Below are 23,363 nucleotides of genomic sequence, written 5' to 3'. Positions count from 1 at the left end.
GGGTGTCAATTTTAGATCTTTCCTGCTTTCTCTTGTGGGCATTTAGTGCTATAAATTTCCCTCTACACACTGCTTTAAATGTCTCCCAGAGATTCTGGTATGTTGTATCTTTGTTCTCATTGGTTTCAAAGAACTTCTTTATTTCTGCCTTCATTTCGTTATGTACCCAGTAGTCATTCAGGAGCAGGTTGTTCAGTTTCCATGTAGTTGAGCGGTTTTGAGTGAGTTTCTTAATCTTGAGTTCTAGTTTGATCGCACTGTGGTCTGAGAGACAGTTTGTTATCATTTCTGTTCTTTTACATTTGCTGAGGAGTGCTTTACTTCCAACTATGTGGTCAATTTTGGAACAAGTGCGGTGTGGTGCTGAGAAGAATGTATATTTTGTTGAATTGGGGTGGAGAGTTCTGTAGATGTCTATTAGCTCCACTTGGTGCAGGGCTGAGTTCAATTCCTAGATATCTTTGTTAACTTTCTGTCTTGTGGATCTGTCTAATGTTGACAGTGGGTGTTAAAGTCTCCCATTATTATTGTGTGGGAGTCTAAGCCTCTTCGTAGGCCTCTAAGGACTTCCTTTATGAATCCGGGTGCTCCTGTACTGGGTGCATATATATTTAGGTTAGTTAGCTCTTCTTGTTGAATTGATCCCTTTACCATTATGTAATGGCCTTCTTTGTCTCTTTTGATCTTTGTTGGTTTAAAGTCTGTTTTATCAGAGACTAGGGTTGCAACCCCTGCCTTGTTTTGTTTTCCATTTGCTTGGTAGATCTTCCTCCATCCCTTTATTTTGAGCCTGTGTGTCTCTGCACGTGAGAAGGGTTTCCTGAATACAGCACACTGATGGGTCTTGACTCTTTATCCAACTTGCCAGTCTGTGTCTTTTAATTGGAGTATTTAGCCCATTTACATTTAAGGTTTATATTGTTATGTGTGAATTTGATCCTGTCATTGAGATGTTAGCTGGTTATTTTGCTCGTTAGTTGATGCAGTTTCTTCCTAACCTTGATGGTCTTTACGATTTGGCATGTTTTTGCAGTGGCTGGTACCAGTTGTTCCTTTCCATGTTTAGTGCTTCCTTCAGGAGCTCTTGTAGGGCAGGCCTGGTGGTGACAAAATCTCTCAGCATTTGCTTGTCTGTAAAGGATTTTATTTCTCCTTCACTTATGAGGCTTAGTTTGGCTGGATATGAAATTCTGTGTTGAAAATTCTTTTCTTTAAGAATGTTGAATATTGGCCCCCACTCTCTTCTGGCTTGTAGAATTTCTGCCGAGCGATCAGCTATTAGTCTGATGGGCTTCCCTTTGTGGGTAACCCGACCTTTGTCTCTGGCTGCCCTTAACATTTTTTCCTTCATTTCCACTTTGGTGAATCTGACAATTAAGTGTCTTGGAGTTGTCCTTCTCAAGGAGTATCTTTGTGGACTTCTCTGTATTTCCTGAATTTGAATGTTAGCCTGCCTTGCTGGATTGGGGAAGTTCTCCTGCATAATTTCCTGCAGAGTGTTTTCCAACTTGGTTCCATTCTCCCCGTCACTTTCAGGTACACCAATCAGATGTAGATTTGGTCTTTTCACATAGTCCCATATTTCTTGGAGGGTTTGTTTGTTTCTTTTTATTCTTTTTTCTCTAAACTTCTCTTCTCACTTCATTTCATTCATTTGATCTTCCATCAAGATACCCTTTCTTCCAGTTGATCGAATTGGTTAGTGAGGCTTGTGCATTCATCATGTAGTTCTCGTGCCGTGGTTTTCAGCTCCATCAGGTCCTTTAAGGACTTCTGTGTATTAGTTATTCTAGTTAGCCATTTGTCTAATCTTTTTTCAAGGTTTTTGACTTCTTTGCCATGGGTTCGAACTTCCTCCTTTAGCTCGGAGAAGTTTGATCGTCTGAAGCCTTCTTCTCTCAACTCATCAAAGTCATTCTCCATCCAGCTTTGTTCCGCTGCTGGTGAGGAGCTGCGTTCCTTTGGAGAAGAAGAGGTTCTCTGATTTTTAGAATTTTCAGTTTTTCTGTTCTGTTTTTTCCCCATCTTTGTGGTTTTATCTACCTTTGGTCTTTGATGATGGTGACATGCAGATGGGGTTTTGGTGTGGATGTTCTTTCTGTTTGTTAGTTTTCCTTCTAACAGTCAGGACCCTCAGCTGCAGGTCTGTCGGAGTTTGCCAGAGCTCAACTCCAGACCCTGTTTGCCTGGGTATCAGCAGCGGAGGCTGCAGAACAGCGAATATTGGTGAACAGCAAATGCTGCTGTCTGATCGTTCCTCTGGAAATTTTGTCTCAGAGGGGTACCTGGCCGTGTGAGGTGTCAGTCTGCCCCTACTGGGGGGTGCCTCCCAGTTAGGCTACTCGGGGGTCAGGGACCCACTTGAGGAGGCAGTCTGTCCGTTCTCGGATCTCAAGCTGCATGCTGGGAGAACCACTGCTGTCTTCCAATCTGTCAGACAGGGACATTTAAGTCTGCAGAGGTTTCTGCTGCCTTTTGTTTGGCTATGCCCTGCTGCCAGAGGTGGAGTCTACAAGAGGCAGGCAGGCCTCCTTGAGCTGTGGTGGGCTCCACCCAGTTCGAGCTTCCTGGCTGCTTTGTTTACCTACTGAAGTCTCAGCAATGGCGGGCGCCCCTCCCCCAGCCTTGCTGCCGCCTTGCAGTTTGATCTCAGACTGCTGTGCTAGCAATGAGCGAGGCTCCGTGGGCGTAGGACCCTCTGAGCCATGCGCGGGATATAATCTCCTGGTGTGCCGTTTGCTAAGACCATCGGAAAAGTGTAGTATTAGGGTGGGAATGACCCAATTTTTCAGATGCTGTCTGTCACCCCTTTCCTTGGCTAGAAAAGGGAATTCCCTGACCCCTTGTGCTTCCCAGGTGAGGTGATGCCTCGCCCTGCTTCGGCTCACGCTCGGTGCGCTGCACCCACTGTCCTGAACCCACTGTCCGACAGTCCCCAGTGAGATGAACCCGGTACCTCAGTTGGAAATGCAGAAATCATCCGTCTTCTGCGTCGCTCATGCTGGGAGCTGTGGACTGGAGCTGTTCTTATTCGGCCATCTTGGAACCGCCCCTACCTCCAGGGCTATTTTCATACATCATACACAAGTCTTTACCCGTGAGTCTAGACTAGTGGCCTCAAGAGCATGGGGCCATCCCTGCAGGTATCTCTAAAGGGCTGTGCTGACCTGCTTGTCACTCCTACTTGTCCAAAACAAAGCAGGACTGCAGGCAGAGGGAACTTAAGGACAACCCCTGGCCTTTCTGGTGATCTCTGTGATATCAACCAGCAACTGAACTAAAATTCTTTGTGACACAGACCAGACTTGTCCTGGGGCCACCACACACAAACTTGGAAATTGAACAATACTCTTCTGGAAGTCAAGAGAACATTTCCATAAGGAAGAGATGTTGTAACAAAAGAGGCAGAGAAATGAATGTACGCAAGAACAGGACCTTAACGACAACAAAGCAGGGGATATTCCAAGTCTTTACTCAGAATAGTCTAGAAATGGTTGAAGGGAAGCTTAGAAAACAGTTGCGTGAACAGCCATACTTTTTTTTTTTAATTCCTATCTAGTTTCTTTCAGGAAATTTCTCCATGTGGAAATTTCTCCTGTTTAATGATGTCCACAGACCAGCCTTCTAAAGAGAATTCTTATTTTGCAGTAGGCTCACTACAGATTTGATGATGGAATTATCTGCCAGATGCCCAGTTCTCCCTTTGAGGATACACAGATAGACTCCAGTGTCATTAGACTATCTTCCCCTGAAATGCTTTTACTATGGCTCCTGCACAACTTCAGGGTGTGCCACCTACCAGCCATCCAGACAAAAAGTCATGCTGACCACCCAGGCTGCAGCAGAAGGAGGAGATGAGCTCTGGGCAAGTATGAAAAGATATTGATGGCAAGAAAACTCCTTTTTTCCCCAAAAATATGAAGGTTAATGATAATTATTCTTCTCATCAAAATGTTTTTGTCTCCCTCCTTCCAGGTAAAAGTGCTAATGCTTTTAGAACTTACAAAATGAAACTGGCCATAACCTGAGCCTTCTTTTGCACTCATCTGGACTTATGGTCTTCATCTCCAAATGAGACAAACAGGAGAGAATGGAACTTCTGAGCCCTAGGGGCAGCATTCACTTGAAAGTCAATTACGTCCAAAGTAAGACACTCATGATAAGGACACTTCTGAAAAACAGAGTGAGGTGTCTGCTTTCATGGGAGTAAACCTATTACTTCCACTTACAATAATAATTCTCTTAACATCTCCTTAATGCTCCCTGATAAATCTCAGCTCCTCCTCAACCAGCTCTAAATGAGAATGACAAGGAAAGTTGTATGAGGCCAAGCAGAATGAGATCTGTAGCTGCTTAAGAGTGGCTGATAATTAACCCTTCTCTCTCTTCCCCAATCCCAGTGGGTCCATGACTTTTGGACAATAAAGCACCCAACCTGTGACAGCACTAAGTGATTCCTGTGCCACAGGCGGGAAGCCTCTCAGTGAGGCTGTGCACTTAACAGTCATCCCAATGACAGGGAGGACAGTCTTATACACAGGAAGTTTATAATGAACTGAATTTGACAATGGCAGCCTGTTCATGTGCAGAAACTAAGATCAGTGCCTGGGGACAGGCAGTCAACTTTTAAATATTAAACAGCATATAAATATGTATAGCCTTGACCTGAACACTTGAGTTATACGTTCTGAATAATTATCATTTCTGAAAGACTAAGGGATAGATTTACCAAATTAAAATACAGAATCTATAGGATCATGATGTTCTGCATTTATAGCATTACACGATCAAAGCCCCATCTGGATAAAAGGCAAAGGCAACTTTAAAAAAGTCCTTAGAGATTAGATCCTTGAATCTCATCTGAAGTCCACTGGTTTCATTTTCACTATATGTTACTTCATATAAATCGGGTAAAAAATTATAGTCATGATCATAAGTAGGGTCTTGAGATGTGGCAATCAAAGCCTAAAGATTAATACTTAACTTCAGTTTTCAAACTAAGTCCCACATTATCCAAACTGAAGCAATGAGTCAGAGAAATTTCAAAGGTTAAATGCTACTGACTTTAAAAAACATAAAACCATTTGTACCACATCATTCTAATCTCATAAATTTAATGCTCTATAAAAGTAACAGAGATACGTTTAGCAATTTGGGAAAACCAACGAGAGATGTCATTTGCATTGCTTTTGAGATGAAACGTGATGTGATAATTTACCAAGACTGATCATTATAAAATAAGTGAGCAACAAGATGAGTTGAGCTGGAAAGGAAAGGGAGGAGTGGGTTTTTAGATCACTAACTCTGTGACTTTATGGTCCAGAGCCACATCAACCATGTGAGTCAAAAAACTTTCACCATTTCAAAATGCCTGGCCTGGGAATTGGGGGCAATTTATTTCTATTGGTGTAATTACCTGGATGTGATTTTACCAGCACCAGCAAGAGAATAAGATCCAGTTTTAGGAAATAATATGGATTTGTTCATCCACTCCCAACACAGCTTGCTTGCTCATCCTAAAATGATACTATTGCTAAGTAATGTCTACCACTATCGACCTATTCTTTAGCTAAATTACTAATTAGTTTAGCATGTCTGGTTATTAAACTGCAATGGTGAGTTAAACTGTAATGCTTTCAAAACTAAAGACTGGCTAGTGGTCAGGTAAGCTATACCTCTTGCTTCTCTGGTCGAGTCCACGAAGCCTGGAGAAAACAAGATATAAAACACAACAAGAAAGCAGTAAAATTTTACAACATGTTGCTTTAGAGAATGTATCACACTGCATTCCGTGCACATGCAGCTTTTCTTTAATTCAGAACTTTTTCCAAGGCCCACTTTCAATGGTGTGTTTATTACACAATTTAATTTAGGATTTAGCTTATGTCCAGCTTTTTTTCCCCCTTAGGCACATTAAAATGTATAATTCAAAAGGTTCAGGTTTTCCTAATCTTTGGTATACCTAGATATGAATACCAGTAGGACCAGACTGCTCTTGTTCCAAAATACCTTAAATATTGCTCATAGTATTTGGTGACATGACTAGTTCTAACCACATTATCTAGAGACACTTAAGAGAGTAGGTCTCCTCTGGCCGGGTGCGGTTGCTCATGCCTGTAATCCCAGCACTTTGGGAGGCCGAGGCAGGCAGATCACGAGGTCAGGAGATTGAGACCATGCTGGCCAACACGGTGAAACCCCATCTCTACTAAAAAAAATACACAAAATTAGCTGGGCGTGGTGGCAGGCGCCTGTAGTCCCAGCTATTCGGGAGGCTGGGGCAGGAGAATGGCGTGAACCCGGAAGGCAGAGCTTGCAGTGAGCGAGATCGCACCACTGCACTCCAGCCTGGGCAACAGAGTGAGACTCTGTCTCAAAAAAAAAAAAAAAAAAAAAAAGAGAGAGAGAGAGAGAGAATAGGTCTCCTTCTTTGGATTTTATAAGGCAGCTTATCATAGATATACTAATGCCATTTAATGCTCATGCATTTTACAACTCTTTGCATGCATTCTGTTAAAATCAAATTTTTATTGCCAAAAAGGAACAAAGCAAGGAGCAGAGAGGTACACTAGGAATGAGAAGTATGAAGTCCTTGAGACCAGGAGTCAGGAAGCTTTGAGGATACCAAATGGAAGTGGTTGAGGGAGGGCTCCAGTCCTTAACAGCAGAGAATGCACAGATGGTATGTGGACTCCAGCATGTACCATCTCCATCAAACATGGCATTCCATTCACAAGTTGGCATTTGCAAGCCAACCCAGGGACACAGAGGTTAGAGGGATTTTCCACCCACATCTAGATTTTTTTATTTCTCCAGCACTTGGGAATCTATTCTCCTTACAGTTTATCTGTTTTTCATACTAGGATTCAAAGACATGATAGCTGCATTGTTCTTTTTATTACCTGGCAAGACTGCCCGATTGTCTCTGATGTTCAGATGGAAAAAGGATAGAAAAGATGCCAGAATCATAGCAACGCAACCCAGGGAATGCAAATAAGTTAGCAAACATTTAGTAAGAGTCCACTAAATGCAAGGAACTTTTGTGAGAAATGAGATGGAAATATCGAGTTATGTCACATGATGTGGGAATGAAGAAGAAGGTGAGAACAGAGGAACATGCAGAGACCAAAGTAACGGTGGGCCAACACGTCAAATGTGCTTGCCAATTCCACATCACTTAGAAGCTTGTCGGTTACATGCCAGGGCTGCAGGAATCAAGATCTTTCTTTTGAGAGACTCTATCACATTGAGTTGTATGTTTTTTCAAATCTGATTATCCTTGTGTCTCTCCCAAATCACTATGGTTCTGTGGCTTTTAGAATAAGTAGTTGCTAGTAACACAAAGCTTCCAGTAACATAACCTTCTACTTTTGTGCCTGGTGGAAAGATAGGAAATATCTCGGCCCTAACAATTTGGTGAATGTGTGACCCACATTAGGACAACCTGATATGCAAATGTACACACTTATGAAATAAATCAGAGTGTGATTAGTAATCCTCCAAAAATTGTTCTAGGTTGTTTTGATATTCATATTTTATTGTCTTACACACAAGTCTGCAGGAACACATATATAAAATAAAGTGAAGCATTTCTATAGTTTTCTTAGGTATTCCATTATTCATGTGCCCACACGCTGGATAAACCAGACTGATTGCTTAATGCAGTCATCTTTTCCAGTGTTTAAAAGCGGGCCCTGGGTTTGTACTGAATGAGGAATTTTTTTCTCGTGAAAAGGAAACTCCAGCTTCCAAAGAATCCAGAACTTCAAAAGTTCTCTCTTACTTGTGGGATATTCTGTCAGCCTAAGATTCAAGGTTCACAGAATGCTTTTCATTTTTCCTATCTCTTCTGATCTCAATTCTTCACTGCTCTCCTTTCCTTAATAAGGCTTCATAGGCCTTTGTCAGTCATTTCAAAGGCATAGAGATGTTCAAAGAGGCATATGATGGATTTTTTCTGCCAGGGATAGAGTACGTAAATCATCATCCACGGGTCTCAGTCAGTAAGTAAATGAAACCTGGAATTTAGCACCACTCACTCAAACACCTGGCAATATTTAAAAGGAATCTGGGCAGGATGAGTAGTGAAATAACATGGAAGCAGAAGCTTTCTGAGGTATCACAATGACTTTCATACAGATGATCAAATTGACCCATTATGATGGTCAATTTTTTTGGTCAATGTAATAGTAACTACTAGGAAATGCATCAACTTTTGGACAGCTGATCTACCTTAATGATCTCGATGATCCAAACAATTAGGTACCCTAGCTATTATCAGTTGTCGAGCTAAACCAACTCAACTAGCTGAAGCTTAACAGATTGGTAATGGTCATTCTCAAATGAGTAACTAGACTCAATACAGAGACATGATCAAAGGTAGAGTGTGACATTCACGCTCATTGTACTTGTTTTTGCTTATCTCCCCCCTTCTTTTATAATGAACAAGAACATTGGTATTCCATTAGAAAGTTAGTAACTATATGTCTATGGTTGAATGCCTTTTTTCCACCTCTTCCCTTAAGAAGACTAATACTAGACTAAACTCAGCAGTGAAGCAAAACACAAAACTGCTTTAACTTGCTAATATTGTAACTAACTTTGTTAAAGGAATCATTGAACCTTCCACTAAAGTCATACAAACCATGAGAGAGCACTGTGGCACCGTGGCATCAAGTGGCCTACCTTCTGAGCCACCGAGCCAGAAGGAAGCCATTGTGGCAGTCTAAGGGCTTTGTACTTGACCTTGTTCTAGTCAACATTTCTATCAGTGACTTGGACAAAGATATTGCAAATAAGTGTTCATACAAGGTTGGAAGCAACAGCTAATACAAATGTTAGATGACGACTGCATTGGGAAGGCTACTGGACTGCCTGCTCTTGGGCTCTATGCTTAGGCTGGGATCTCCACTGACTACTCTACTACTTTACTTTTAATATACACATGGGTTGAAGTGCCCTGGACACATAGACTTCTAAGGTGAATTTCTAATGAAAGTCAGTCCTGACTGGTTAGAAAGATGGACTCAAACAGTCATTCTCAAGCCACAGGGTGTTTGTATGTGTCATATTTTTAGTAACAATTAGAGGTGGCTACTGGCATTTAACAGGAAGGGGACTAGAGATGATAAGTTTCTTGCAATGCATAGTACAGTCCCAGTGAAGGAAGCCTCTTCCCAAATTGCCACCATGACCCTGTTGAGAAGCACTGAGCTGCAACAAACAAAATGCAATTTTTAACATAAATAAATATAAAATTCTGCAATATCGGTTAACCAATCAATTGCATAAGAACAGGATAGGGGATATGTGGCTTAAATGGGGATCATGTAAAAAAGACCTGAGCATTTTAGTTGACCACAAGCTCAATATGAGGCAACAGAATAAGGAGACTGCTAAGAGCTAATGTGCCTTTTTCTGCATGATGGCATCCAGATCAAAGAGGCAGTAGCCCTCCTGAAGTCTGCATTAATTACACTGAGCACAGCAAAATTTTAGGGGAGCACTAGTGAACTGAAACTATCTCGTATAAGACAACCAGAAAGATAAAAGGTATGGAAACTATGCCATATGAGAAATAGTGAAAATAACTGGTATGTTCAAGGTAAGAGGAGTGGACTGGAGGAAAGTCGGAGAGTTTTTAATGTCTCTCATGCAAAGGACTGAGTGGCAGAGGCTAGGAGGACTGAGTAGAGGAAGGGGCAAGGAAGTAGCTCTTTCTGCTCTTCAGCATTGGCCAACTCCCCTGCAGAGGACTGACACCATCATGCTTCAGACAGGGACGGACTGGCTTCCTGGCAAGGATGCTAGGCCAGGGTGCCAGGTGAGACTGGATGACCTCAAAAGGTGCCTTCCGAACATCTATGATTTTAGCATTTTATGTGATCTAAATCTCAGGAGGATTCTTTACCTGACCAATTAGATACAATCATCTATTCTTGTTTGCTTAGCATATCACCCTGATTTTAAAAAGAAAATGGTTGTTTTCCACTCCTACAATTACAGTGATGCTAGTAATCTTGATTCCTAATTATATAGAAGCAACTTCGGATGGAGGAGAACATGAGGAGAGGCTGCCAAAGTAAAAGTGAAATTTATTTTCTGTACTCCAACCAGTTCATGAACAGCCTATATTTGTTTTCTTAATTATTAGCTATCCACAGTGTAAGATGGACAATACGCCTCTTTGACGTCAATATATAATTAACAGAAATGGCAAATTTTCTTATATAGGGTTTCACTTAGGCAAATATGTCAGTCTGGTGTCACATCACCAGCTGATTTGGAGGACTTGTTTTAATACCGATTCACTCATGTTCCAATAAAGTGAACTTGAAGGCAAGTAAAAGAAATACAATACAACCAATGTAGCTGGGCTGAAATAATGATCTAAGATTAAGACAAATGATCTATAGTGATAGCAGAATTATATAAAAAGTAGTCACTACTAGGCTTGAGACAGTCTCTGCTGGACACCTGTCTCCATATTTAGCAAGTATGAATGTGTTTTAGTTCCTGGCTATTATTCTCATTCTATAAAAATGAAATCGGCCGGGCGCGGTGGCTCACGCCTGTAATCCCAGCACTTTGGGAGGCCGAGGCGGGCGGATCACGAGGTCAGGAGATCGAGACCATCCTGGCTAACACGGTGAAACCCCGTCTCTACTAAAAATACAAAAAAAAATTAGCCGGGCGAGGTGGCGGGCGCCTGTAGTCCCAGCTACTCGGGAGGCTGAGGCAGGAGAATGGCGGGAACCCCAGGGGGCGGAGCCTGCAGTGAGCCGAGATCGCGCCACTGCACTCCAGCCTGGGCGACAGCGAGACTCCGTCTCAAAAAAAAAAAAAAAAAAAAAATGAAATCATAGCTACAAGCCAGAAGTGCCAACCTATTAAAGAACCTCAGTAGGCACAAATCTTAATAACCTTTCTGGTCTAGCTTGGCTGTTGAGCTATTCCTAGAAAAGATATAGAATTCAAAAGCATCATTCATCTGAGATAGATATTATTTCTGTCCTTCACTGTAGGTCAAAGATATACACTGGGTCACTCTGGACAAAAATCTACTTTTAAGCTGATGTAGAAAGATCTGCCAAGCAGCAGCCTTGTGGTTTAAGCCCTGAAATGTACATTAAATCCACATAACACACATGAGTGGGGCTGAAATCTTAGCTAAGGGTTTAATTCTAATGTTGATAAAGAAAGTATCCAAGTAAACACCACATCTCTTAATCTAGCTGGTTTTCACAGTTTCAAACAGCATATGTGGGTTTCAAAAATATTTAGCAGTTCCTCAGTTGACTTTTTGTTAAGGTGAATTTAACTCTGCAGGTAAAAGTTGCAAAAAATAATAGGTTATTTGGAAGAGCAATTTCTGTTCCATTTGATGCAGTTTTGTTTTCTATTAGTGGGACAGAAATCAGCTCCTCAAATGCAAATCCCAAATTTAACTCTGGAATTTCACACTATCCTTTCGGGCTTTATTTGAGTTTACTCTCTCTAGAGATTTCCTTTAGGCAGGCAGAAGAGTGAAAATCTATCATTTTTGACATTCTGATCAATAAGCAATCCATTACAAATGTTCCATAAGGCTAAGGCCATTATTCCTGACTAGGTGACAAAACTTGGGCTAACTAAAACAAAGCCCATTACTACAGGATATACGAGATGAGATTGGAGAAGTACCATAAGACGGTTTAAGTTGCATTAAAATGAAGCTTTTTCCTCCTACTTTTGGCCCACTCAATAATCAAGGGCTGTATGATGTGGGGTCACCTCAGTTTTTATATATTGTCAACAATAAAGATAGCTTTCTGGTGGCCTACAAATCCACGGACTTTAAAGCTCAATCTTTCCCGCCATTTTAATTTGCCAGGAAGGTTGCTACAATGTTCTTAAACCCTCCATGAATATATTGAAAAACCAGGATGTAATCCTCATTTAGAAACTGCTAAATATTTTTGCCTTTAGAACAAAATGGTATCCAAATGTGACCAAGAATACAGGCAGACACAATGGCAACCAGGCATTTGTGCATAAGTGCATATATAGCATGAGTATACAAACACAAGAAAAAGAATTAATAGGTTCATTTTGAGCCTGGTTATTTCTGGGAGATCTTTCCTAGGGTGCCCTTGATATGATGACAATGTCACCTGGTGGACCAGGATATTGCCTTCTCTTTGTTCCCTCACAGCTCCATAACTCTGGGATTGACAATCACCATTGCCTCCTCCCCAGAACATCTAACTTGAGCATGCCCATACATCACGCCCCCACCAACCTATCCAAGGAATTGTGCCTATTCCATTACAAGGGGATGATGAGCAGGCCATGTCCTGCAGGGTTGGGGAGGGAGGCCCCGGGATCTGGCTGTGGCCTCTGGTGACCATAACCCATCTCCCAGCTCCCCAAAGAGAACTGGGCATGAGCAGACTCAATCTGCTTTGAGTCTGCATTCCAAGGCCCTGAAACTCCTGGGGAGCATGATACCTTTTCTTCGCTGCTGATGTTCCGGGTAGAAGTCCTCCAGGTGATGGAGGGAATGGGGTCTCCGGAGGCTTCACAGGTAAGAGTGACCTGCTCCTCTAATTCCATGGCAGTCTGGTTCTCTACATATGTGATTTTGGGTTTTGCTGAAAAGACAAAACATTTCTCTGAGTTTATCTAATTATTGAGCTTTCTGGGTTTAAATGATGGCATGCACCTATCCAACAAAGGTTAGCTGTCTGCTAAGTACAAGACCCTAGTCTAGGTGTTTTAGGAGATGCAGACCTGACTCTCCAAGGCTTACAATGATGTAGGCATGTGACAACACGGAAACCATAATAATCAGAAATATCCTATAGAGTAAAAGTGATAAGGGCAAGGAATGCAGGAGGCAGGACATGGCGGAAGATCGCTCCCTGGATGGAGCCTTCGAGAGGAAACGGCTTTGGGGCTGGACCATGAGATTTTCAGGAGGTGGAACTCTAGGGTGGAGATGGAGTCATTTGAAGTGTAGGAAACTGACTGAATAAAAGCAAAGAAGCAAAAACATATGAAGAGATGGCTGGGAAGAGAACAGTGTGGCATGAGGCACAGGAAGGTGAGGCTGGATGGCTGGAATTTTACCTGGTGCCTGGTGGAGGCCCACAGACAGCATTTAGTCAGGGGCACAAAAGCATTTGTATTTCAAGAAGGTTAATCTAGGGACATTTCAGGAAGCATTGGACTAGAGAACACTTTGAAGTGGGAAAACCAGTTTGGAAGCCCTGGCAATGACCCAGATGTGCGGTAATGTTGGATTCTGAACAAGGTTGTTTGAGGGGAAACAGCAAAGAGAAGCTTTGAGACAGATGCTGGAGGAAGGTTCAATAAGTGGCAACTGAACAGAGGGCAAGGAGGGGTGAGAAGAACCAAAAGAAGCAATAAGAAGGAGTCCAGGTGACTTGGAGTCTCAACGACTGGGAGAAGGGTGTTAGCATTAACTCAAATGAAGAAATCAGGCAAGGAACTGGATGGGGGCTCTGGGGTGGGCTCAGGATGGGAAGGAGATGAGTTGAGATGAGTTCATTTTCCAAATGTTTTGGGTAATGCAAGAAAACACAAGCATTCCAAAGCTAAGTTAAATGTTAAAACATTAGAGAAAATTGAATTTTCCCAATTTAAAACAATTATGCTCTGAAATTGCTGAACTTTGTGTGGAAGAGAAAAGATAACACTGCACAAATGTGACTTATTTCATGAATATAGGAAAAGGTCAGGCTAGGGAAACAAACAAATGAACCAAAAAACCCCAAGAGAATGATAGCTAGTTTTTGAAAGACTACATGTGCTTTATATTCAAATTCATACAGTAACCCTAAGTAGGCAAATAAACAACTGCCTATATATCTTCTCCATGTTGAGGTCTTTGATGCTGTTTTAATAAACAGAAAACAATAATAGAACTATATACTTTTGTTACAAATGCCTGCTTCTACATAAAATCATCCATATAGTTCAAATATTTGCCTAAAGGTAATGCATACTGACAGCCTGTTTAGCAAATCCTTTTTTGATGGATAGCACATAGGCACATCTCAATCCAATCTGGCCAAATGTTCATAGATTTCAGTTGATGGAGTCCACATGAATGAGGTTAAACCTCATAGGTTTCCCTATTGTGTTTTCCTTAATAAGTACGATTTTTGAGAATATTACAACTCGTATTGGAAGGAATATGTGCCAAGTGCCATTGAAAGGGAAGTTTTAGAGGGCAAAGTAAAATAAAGGTAAAATAAACATGAAAAACAAAAAGGTTAATAAAATAAAAGAAAGGTAAAGTAAGAGCTGAATCTCTATATTGTAAAAGTCACAGAATAAAAAATTTAAAAAAAATGTGGCCATACAACTGAATTCGCTAAACTCAACAGTTGTTTTGAGGTCTGGAGACAATCCCAGGAAGGCTGAATTTGGGGCCCCTTAAAATCTTGTCAGACTCTGAGATCTGGACAGCGTTTTGCTGACCTTCTCCTGACCTGCGGTACTTTGTCATGGCAGCCGAAGGTTAACAGAAGACAGGCAAGGGTCAGTTGCCATCTATTAATATTTGGCCTTGGAGGCTCCATTTCCCAGATGGCTACAGAAGGTGCATTGTGTGACTCCTTAGAAAAAAGGCAAACCATATTCTTATTAAAACATGATTATGGCTAATTTTGTATAGTCTACAGAGTGCTGTGGGAAGGAAGGGAAGCTTCCCACTGATAATTTAATTCTCTATTACTCTAGAAGCAGTACGGTCAGAACTAACTCAGAAAGCTCAGATGCCACCTTAGAACAAGACAGTGATATGCATAATTTATTGTCTAAATTGGGACTCTCTTGAGAGTGACATGAGAGGCTCTAAATAATTACACCAGGACAAAGGGCATTAGTAGGCAAACAGGGACAGATGCTGGGTCACCCTACTGAAAAGATTCCCTCCCTCTGCCTTCCAGCATCTAGAGGGATCTCTCTGGGTTTCATCTTCCTACACCCCCTGCCCTCTATTAATTAACCTCTCTTATGAGTTCTTGGCTTTTGGATCCCTGTTCTATTCTCCACCTGCCTCCATGGGCCTTAGTGCCTCAGACTGTTCCACTGCACCTTTCCCCATATTTCCTCCTGTGAGTTTTCCAAGAATGCTTGCCACTAAGAGGCAGCCTTGTCTACTCCAACTCCAGTCCATGCTCCTACAACCCTAGCCAAAGAAGAGCCCCGAGGCCCCTGCATCCCTGAACAAAGAGGTTGGACACTATGCTATGGGGCATGACCAGATGCACCTTCTTTCAGGCCACTGCTTGTCCTTAGCTGTAACCCTCAGGGGCTGCTTGAGACACAGGGCTCCTGGCCACTGGAGAACTTTCCTCAGCCACAGCAGCATGAGACCTCAAGAGCATGTACATGAGCATCACAAGAATCAATAGAGACAAAACTTCTTCAGGGGCACGTGTAGGGACAACAGTAATGAGAATTCACTGCCAAATTTAAAGGATGATAGGATGCATCTACTTAGTAAAAGGAGCATCTAGCTAATAACTAAGGCAACATGTGCTAGAACATGTCTTTTTCTGAGGAAAGAATGATGCCACTTAGATACAAATGATGTCATAAAGTCTCTAATTGAGATATGTCCCATACATACTGATGGACATTCCTTCTTGAGGCCACAGGACTTCTGGGCTTTTCTTTACTATCTAAGCTACAGGTTTCCTCCCTTTTCTACCTCACTGCTGTAGACTCTACTCCCACTTGCAGAACCTGTCCCATTTCTCCCCCAGTGATGGGCCACAATGGCAAGTTGGAAGGGGCTGGAAAGGAAATAAAAGAGTGGAAGGAGAAGGAGCCCTAATCAGCTGGTCCCTCCCCAGGTGGCTCCCTAACCCTATATCAGTTTCCTCAACCAATGGGAAGGCCAGTGGAGGAGGAGAGAAAGGAGGATGAGAAGGGAAGATGGATGGGAAAAGGTGGTGGAGAAGAGGCACCAGGTTCCTTCAGGGAGGCTGCATGAACGCTCCGCAGACTATGACAGGGGAGGATTCCCATTCTGTGTGGACTCAGTCTCTACAAATCTATGATTCCTGCCCTGTCTCTTCAGGAGCCTGGCCACCTCTTCTCTGTTTGCCCCACTATGCTCCCTATTCTTCCAGCTGCAGTTTCGGGAAAGAAATTGTGAAATATGTGTGTGTGTGTGTGTGTGTGTGTGTGTGTGTGTGTGTGTGTGTGTTTGTGATGAAGAGGGGTGTATGTGTCCAAGGTGTGGGTGGGAAGACAAATCTTGTCTTGGCAGTTTCTGCCTTTTGACCTCCTCCCGTCGACCTGACCCACTCTCTTCCCTCTACCACGGTCCCACATGGCCCTGCACTCACTACTCCGGGGCAGCCATCACCACCAGAGAGGTCTGGAAGAGAAGCCGAGATCTGTTCATGCCCAGCCAAGTCAGGGCTGAGTTGCTTTTCAGAGAAACCATGAGCTACCTGGTGATGCAGGCAGAGTGCACTGATTCTAGTATTGCCAGACACTCCCACATAATTCAGATACAATTTGTGTCCTGTTGGGTTTCCTGGAATTAACAACCATCATTGTTAGATTAGAGAAGGGACTTAGGAGCCACCTGCCTCGGTTTGAATCCAGAGGCACCTCATCCCTCTGTGATCAGGTTCCTCCTTTGTAAAATGGGGATAATAATAAAATCTACATCATAGGGGCGTGATGAGGATTAAAAGAGTTAACTTACAGATAGCACTTCACAGAATGCTTGGCACATTATAGGTGTTCTGCTTGTGTTTGATATTATTATTATTACTACTTTATGGAGTTAAAGTCTAAAATAATTTCCTAGAGACAGGTGATGATCGTGTTTCCAGGCTTATCTCCCTGCCACATATGTATGTTTGCTTCATCATATAGAACTAATGACAGTTCCTTCATTTATTCAATCTAGTGCCTAATGCATGTGGGTGCTGGGGATCTATCTGTGAGTAAAACAGACACAGCCCCTGTCCACAAGAAGCTCCCATTCAGCATAGCCTGTGCTTTTCCTGCCTCTGTGCCTGTGCCCAGGCTGCCTAAAATTCTCATCCACTCCTTCAGCTGGGTAATTCCTACTTATGAAATAGTACATTTTAATGACTTCTCTAACTTACATCACACAGGACCAGAGAACTTGTTTCCTATAAAACACTGTGCATATTGCTATTTTGCAGCCATAATAATGTGTTGTCATTTCAAATTCCAGCGTTGACTATCTACATTAGCTTGTGAATCTACTGATGAGAACAGAGTCCATGTTATTCATCTTGTAAACTTGGCAATGACTGAGTCCACAGCAGTCACTCAAATGTTGCTGACTGACACTATTATAACATTTATGTTTATCCATTTATCTCCCTCTTTGTGCTTCCCAGGGTCAAGGGATCATATCCTATTCATCTCTGTAGCCCCTCTGTCCAGCAACAATGGTGATCCATACGTATTTATTAAATGAAGGGATTAATTAACAAATGCATCTATCTTTTTCTACAATATGGAAAAACTTACTAAAACCATAGTGATTGGGGAAGATCAGTCTGAATTCAAGAAAAGACTTTCAAGAATATTTTTCATGAAGTTTAGCTTTCTCTCTCAAATACGTACGGTTAACTTGAACCTAACTGATAGCCTGTTTCTAAACCCAGCTGTTTACTACTGAATAACTAGCAGGACATTTGCATATAAAGTCTTGATTTTCAAAGGTCTGTGTTTATGAACAGTTCTCCTTATCAGGCTGGATAAGCAGGTCCCAACCCTGATTCCCAGGTGCACATTTTAATGACCTGGGGGCTCCATGCACCAGAGCTGCGCCTCAGACTGGCACTTCCCCAGTGCTGTCTACAGTAGACCAGTTTATCTGTGTTTTCTAAACAGACACGCGGAGAGACTTGAGGGCCATTAGGTTAAACGTTTCTCTGCAACCAATTCTTTTTTCAAGATCAGGTCAAAATGCTTTTCAGTTCTGAAATGAATGGAAGTTTCCTGAGTTTATGAAGATGAAGTGAGCAGGGATGTGGGGGCTCTTCCATGACACTGTTTTGCACAGGTCAGGGAAGGAGGCAAACAAGGCAAAGCAGCCAGCCCATCGACCACTAAAGTTACCAAGGGCCTATGCCAAGTCTGGCACTGTTTGGAGTCACAGGGATAACGCCGTGTATGACAGCCAGGGTTATGCTATCTTGAAGTTTACACACTAGTAGAGGTAGGAGACAGACAATCCCCAAAACAAATATGCAAATGACATCTGTTCAGGTACTGTTAAGTACAGCAAAGAAGATACAGTAAGAGTCACGAGAGAGAGATGAGTGGAGGTGGGTGGGGGTGGTCGCAGTGCAGAGGGAGTTGAATTAGCCAGGGCAGTGAAGGAAGGCGCCGCTGAGAAGGTGAGTTTGAGTTAAGATCTGAATGGTGGATCAGAAGAAGGCAGCTCAGAGTGGATCAGAGGGAAAGATATTCCAAGCAGAAGAGAAACCTAGGGCAGTGATCCTGAGATGAAGAACAAGCTTGGTATGTCTGAGGGACATGAAGAAGGCCTGTGTGGTTGGAGAACTTTGCATGTGCAGCAAAGCGAAAGAAAGATGAGGCTGGAGAAGAAGGCAGGAGCTAGTTCATCTCTGGTCTTGTAGGCCATTGCAGGGAGTCTGAATTTTATTCTGGTTGCCATAGGGAGCCACTGGAGGCTTTCAAACAGATGAGTGGTACTTAGGTCATTCTGACTACTGTGAGCAGAAGTGAATGAAGTGGACCAATAGGGAGAGTCGGGGAGGCCAGCTATGAGACCGTCCCACTGCTCAGGTGAGGATGATGGTGGCTTGGACTAGGGCTTGGACTAGGTGGTGGAACTGGCAAGAAATGGTTGCATTGGGTTATGTTCTGAGGGACAGTGGCCAGGGTCTTACTGATGGACTGAATGTGCAGAGGAAGGGGAATTGTGGCAGAGCAGTGACCTGGGCCCCCACTGCCCCTACCAAAGACTTTGAGGTGGATGGTCGCATCCTGCTCGCCAGCCTTGTTCTCAGCAATGCAGATGTACTCAGCCTCGTCGTTCTTATCCACCTTTTTGATGGTCAGCTGGGAACTATCGTCGCTGAAGATGTACTTCTCATCGTCTTCCTCTTGCTCTATCTGTTCCCCATCCCTAGAGCATGTAGAAATGCAAAGTAGCATGATTTCGACCACAGAAATAAGACGTTTATTTTTAATTAGGTTCCATAGAATGCAGACTGAGTCAATGGGAAAGACTCCTCAGTCTTCACAAAAAGTTAAGGCACCAAGTTGAACGTCCACATACACCTCTTATTCCTCTATTCCATCCTCTGACTATCCAAGGGCTGCAACTGTACCCACAAATGTTTCAAAGTGGGCTCCCAAGACCACACCCTCTGGCTCTGACTCTGCCCCCACAAGGCTGAAATTGAAGGAATAATCAATGCACAAGCAAGAGAATCTTATAGAAAAGAGTCCATTCTTCTCCTGGGGTTAATATTCCTAAGAAGCCCACATCCATTCCACGCAGACACTAACATGGAGCAGACTTTGTGATGCCCCATTCTCCTCTAGTCCATGATAAAAGGTATGAGCCAGTTTCTTACTTTGTCCAGCTCATGGTGGGCTCTGGGAAGCCTTCGGCATCGCACACCAGGGTGACGGACTGGCCGAGGTTGGCGGTGGCATTCACAATATTCTGCCTGGCCTGGATGGTAGGTGGCACTGAAGGAAAAAAGGGTGTCATGGGGTGGTTGTGAAAATTTGGAAGAACCCAATGGCCTGGAGAAGAGACACCACTCCAGGTCAGGAGTTCTCAGCCTGTGGGACAAACGTCGTGTGCAGCTACAGAGTTAGTGTCAGGAATTGAAATTCATGTATGTACTAAATAACTTCTGCAAACTGAATAGACAGTTCTACAAACATGCATTTTTGTTTTTCATTAATTGAGAAGCTATAGTAATACATTTTATGCATGTTAAGATGGTATTCAATTTATAGTCACTATTCTTCATTATGTATTTTCTCAGTCAATGCATACTAAACTTAATAACTACCAGGTTCAGTGAAACTTGATGTTAAAAAGGAGCTCTTTGTACTGGAAAAAGTTGGACATTACTGCTCCCAGTGGTTAAATGGTTAACACCAATTCGAATGCATCAGCTATAACAAAGAGTGCCATTTCTCTGGGACTGTGATAAACAACCTTGTACAAAACTGTTTTTTACCAAAGGAATGAGATGGGGAGAGTTTGGCAAAAAAAATATGTGTCAATAGTCAAAACAATTCAACCCTGATTTACTTATTTTCTTAGTACTGACATTATAATTTCCTGTAAACATCTTGTAAATGTCAGATCAATTCCATGGGTGTGTTTATTTGACACTGCAAGTTAAGATTAACAAGCCTATGGACCATGATTCTGACTATTCTGAGGCCTGAGTTGACTTAATACTTTCTTTGAACATTTAAGCAGCGGAATAACTTCACAATTATGGTAACATCAAGGACAATGAGGATTAATAGGTAAGCAGGGGGAAAGTTTTTAGTGCTGCAGAACGGTGAAGGACATTCAGTTGCTGCACTAAAATCCCTCGTAGTTGAAGGAAGATCCAACAGGCAAGTATATTAAAAAAAAAAAAAAAAAGAAATCTAGATGTTACGGTGGGGAGGGGATTTAGCTCAGACGGATGATTGAGTCAGGACAGGATTTAATTTACAGACCCAAGAGGAAGTTAAAGAGAATGATTTTGGAGAACCAAGGTTGTAGCAATGCAGAGATCAGGAAGAACGGACTCTCCTCACCATTCACAATGACCTGAATGTCCTTGAAGTTGATCTCCCCCCGTGCCAGGATTCTGCCCTCACAGCGATAAGTGCCCTCATCTGTTTTCTTGATGCCCCGGATCTGCAGGTAGTTGTTGGACAGGACTATGAATCGGACTAGAAGAGATAAGAGGCAGGTTCATCCAAGAATCAGTCAGAGAGCATCTGCAGGCAGGTGGCTGAGTCTCTTTCCTTTTTCCTAACTTCAGTATCATAGGGTGGGGTTTTAAGCCCAAATAAGAAAATGCGTCCCTGGCTTTGAAATACAGCCAAGAGTAAATGTCTATTAGAAATTTGTCTTTCGTACTGGAGAGAAAATCAGGTACCTAAGTATACCAACTTCAGATATGCATCTATTCAGGACCCAGAAACCACATGAGGGTTCGGGCACACATGAATTGGAGTTTGGACTGGAATGCCTCAGTACAGGTGAAAAAGCTAGGGAACTTGGTGGCCTGGGGAAAAGGCAGATGCCAGGAAATTCAGGTCTCACCATCTTTTTTCAGGATGACATCTCGGCCTTTGTGTTTCCAGATGATGGTTGGTGGGAGGGAGCTGACCACATCACACACAATCACGGCATCTTCCCCCTCCCGGAACTCCTGTGGGGTTGGCGCATTCTTGAACATGAGCTTCTCTGGAAGATGAACAGAAGAGTGAGGGAAAACAGCTGCTTCTCTCACAAAGAACCCCTTTCACTAGAGCCATGGTACCTGGACTTGAGTCCTGGGCAAGTCTCGATCCTGATGTACAGTTGTATAAGAGGGGCACCCTCAGAGACGTCAGGCAGAGCAGCTGGCCCAAGCATAGGTTACCAATGCTTGGCAACCAATATCTGCTCATTGAGTGCTAAATTTATCACATTTTGTGCAGAAAAGGGTCTACAGAATGAAAGGAATATCTTCACCAAGGGTTCCTTGTCATGCAGGATGATGCCAGTGAAGCACAGGTTATAGGTAGAATGAACTGGTGGAACATCCATTCCACAACGAATAGTAAGAATCATCAGTCCTTTTCTTGTCTCCCACTCGAACTGCTACTCCCAGTCCCACCCCAACTTTCCTACGGCAGACAGAATGCTGATGAAAAGAACAGGAAAAAAGCACATTTAATGGCAATAAATACCGTGCAATCAATACTGTTCCATTAGCTGTCACCCACCATTACTCCAACCACTGGGATGGATGCATGATATAAATAACAAGGTAACGAGATGCCACCTACAGATGGGGTTTCAGAGGCAATAGGAACTGCCTGCTCTGAGTGGCAGAGAGTGTTCAGATAATGATCCCCCACCCCACTGAGCCCTGGGCTCCATTACCAGCAGGGGAGAGGGAAATAAGAAGGGAGAGGAGCCCAAATTGCAGAACAGTCAGCCAACATTTGGGGAAGGGATAGAGAAACCCGTAATAGCCCTCTGGGAACTATGTAATTTGAATTTTGAGAATGAACGCCTGTGGGGGAGTAGCTGTGACCAGTGTGAACCAGGGTTGTGAGTTCTGGGTTGGCCAAGGTCAGAAAAGACTTAGGGAGAGAGAATGGGACTGGTTAGGCCCTCAGCTGGTCCTTCTGTCATCATTTCCACCTTTCCACTACCCACATGTCTCCTTGGCAAGGAGAGGCCAGAGAATGCAGAAGAAGAAGGAGGCTCTTACGAAAGATCTTCACGTTGACGGTGGCCTCTGACTCACTGCCATCCTCGCCTGTAACCACACACTTGTAAATGCCGGCGTCGTCGATGTTGGCGTTATAGATGGTGAGGGTGGAGGAGGAATCATCATTCCACACCACTGAGATCCGCTGCTGGTTTGGGGTGAGCTTTTCTCCATTGGGGGAGAACCAGGAGATGTCTTTATCTTTGGCATCTCCTGCCACTAAAGAGGAAGAGATTATTTTTAAGCTACTGAAGTCGAAAAGACTAATAAGTCCCCTCCAGACTGACAGTGGCTGATCAGTAAGAGTTACTGAACAACAGATCAGTCAAGGCTTGAACATCAGGGAGGGGTGAGTATGGCTGCTGGAATGACATGCAGCCCTTCTTTGGCCTCTGCATTTAACTATTATATACTTAACACCTCTTACAATATTTGGAAAGAACTCAACAACCACTTGTACTAGTTGTTATCATGGTCCTATCCCTAATGATGGAAGAGAAGAGATACTTGTTGAGAACATACTGTGTGCTGGGCACTAAGCTAGGAACACACATGCCTCACACAACGGGTAACCAAGGGAATTAGTGTATTTAGGATTCGGGCGCCAGAGCCTAACTGGTCTGAGTCTACTGATCAGCTTGTTTTTGAAGCCTTGGATAATGGGTCTCCTGAGATGAAGGCGAGAAATACTGGCTAGTATAGGAGTGCAGATTCCAACCACTTTTTATTTCATTTTTTCCAGCCACATTTATTCTAGCATCTGCCTGCACAAACTGGCATGACTGTCATTTCGTCACTCCCTGCTCAGACAAATTCATTTCCTTGCATGCTGCAAAGAAGGTAGCCAGAACCACCCATTCTTCCTTT

At 43.0% G+C, this 23,363-nt stretch overlaps 1 protein-coding gene across 31 annotated transcripts in view; it reads right to left on the bottom strand.

Moving 5' to 3' along the window:
* The window catches only part of NCAM1 (neural cell adhesion molecule 1), a 317,017-nt gene that overhangs the window by 51,436 nt on the left and 242,218 nt on the right, over positions 1 to 23,363 (bottom strand). For 15 of the 31 annotated variants that reach the window (NM_001400623.1, NM_001400620.1, NM_001400618.1 and 12 more), the window contains 6 exons: positions 22,497 to 22,715; positions 21,335 to 21,478; positions 20,821 to 20,958; positions 19,623 to 19,740; positions 18,999 to 19,168; positions 12,490 to 12,632 (listed from right to left, as the gene is read on the bottom strand). In NM_001400623.1, coding sequence (NP_001387552.1) covers positions 12,490 to 12,632; positions 18,999 to 19,168; positions 19,623 to 19,740; positions 20,821 to 20,958; positions 21,335 to 21,478; positions 22,497 to 22,715 — 932 coding nt within the window. Of the gene's footprint in view, positions 1 to 5,675; positions 5,706 to 12,489; positions 12,633 to 18,998; positions 19,169 to 19,622; positions 19,741 to 20,820; positions 20,959 to 21,334; positions 21,479 to 22,496; positions 22,716 to 23,363 lie in introns of all 31 variants that reach the window. The other 16 variants (NM_001242607.2, NM_001400616.1, NM_001400621.1 and 13 more) reach the window with 2 other exon arrangements.

This window comes from Homo sapiens, chromosome 11 (assembly GCF_000001405.40).
Source record: "Homo sapiens chromosome 11, GRCh38.p14 Primary Assembly".
Classification (NCBI taxonomy): domain Eukaryota; kingdom Metazoa; phylum Chordata; class Mammalia; order Primates; family Hominidae; genus Homo; species Homo sapiens.
This window is presented reverse-complemented; position numbering and strand designations above follow the sequence as displayed.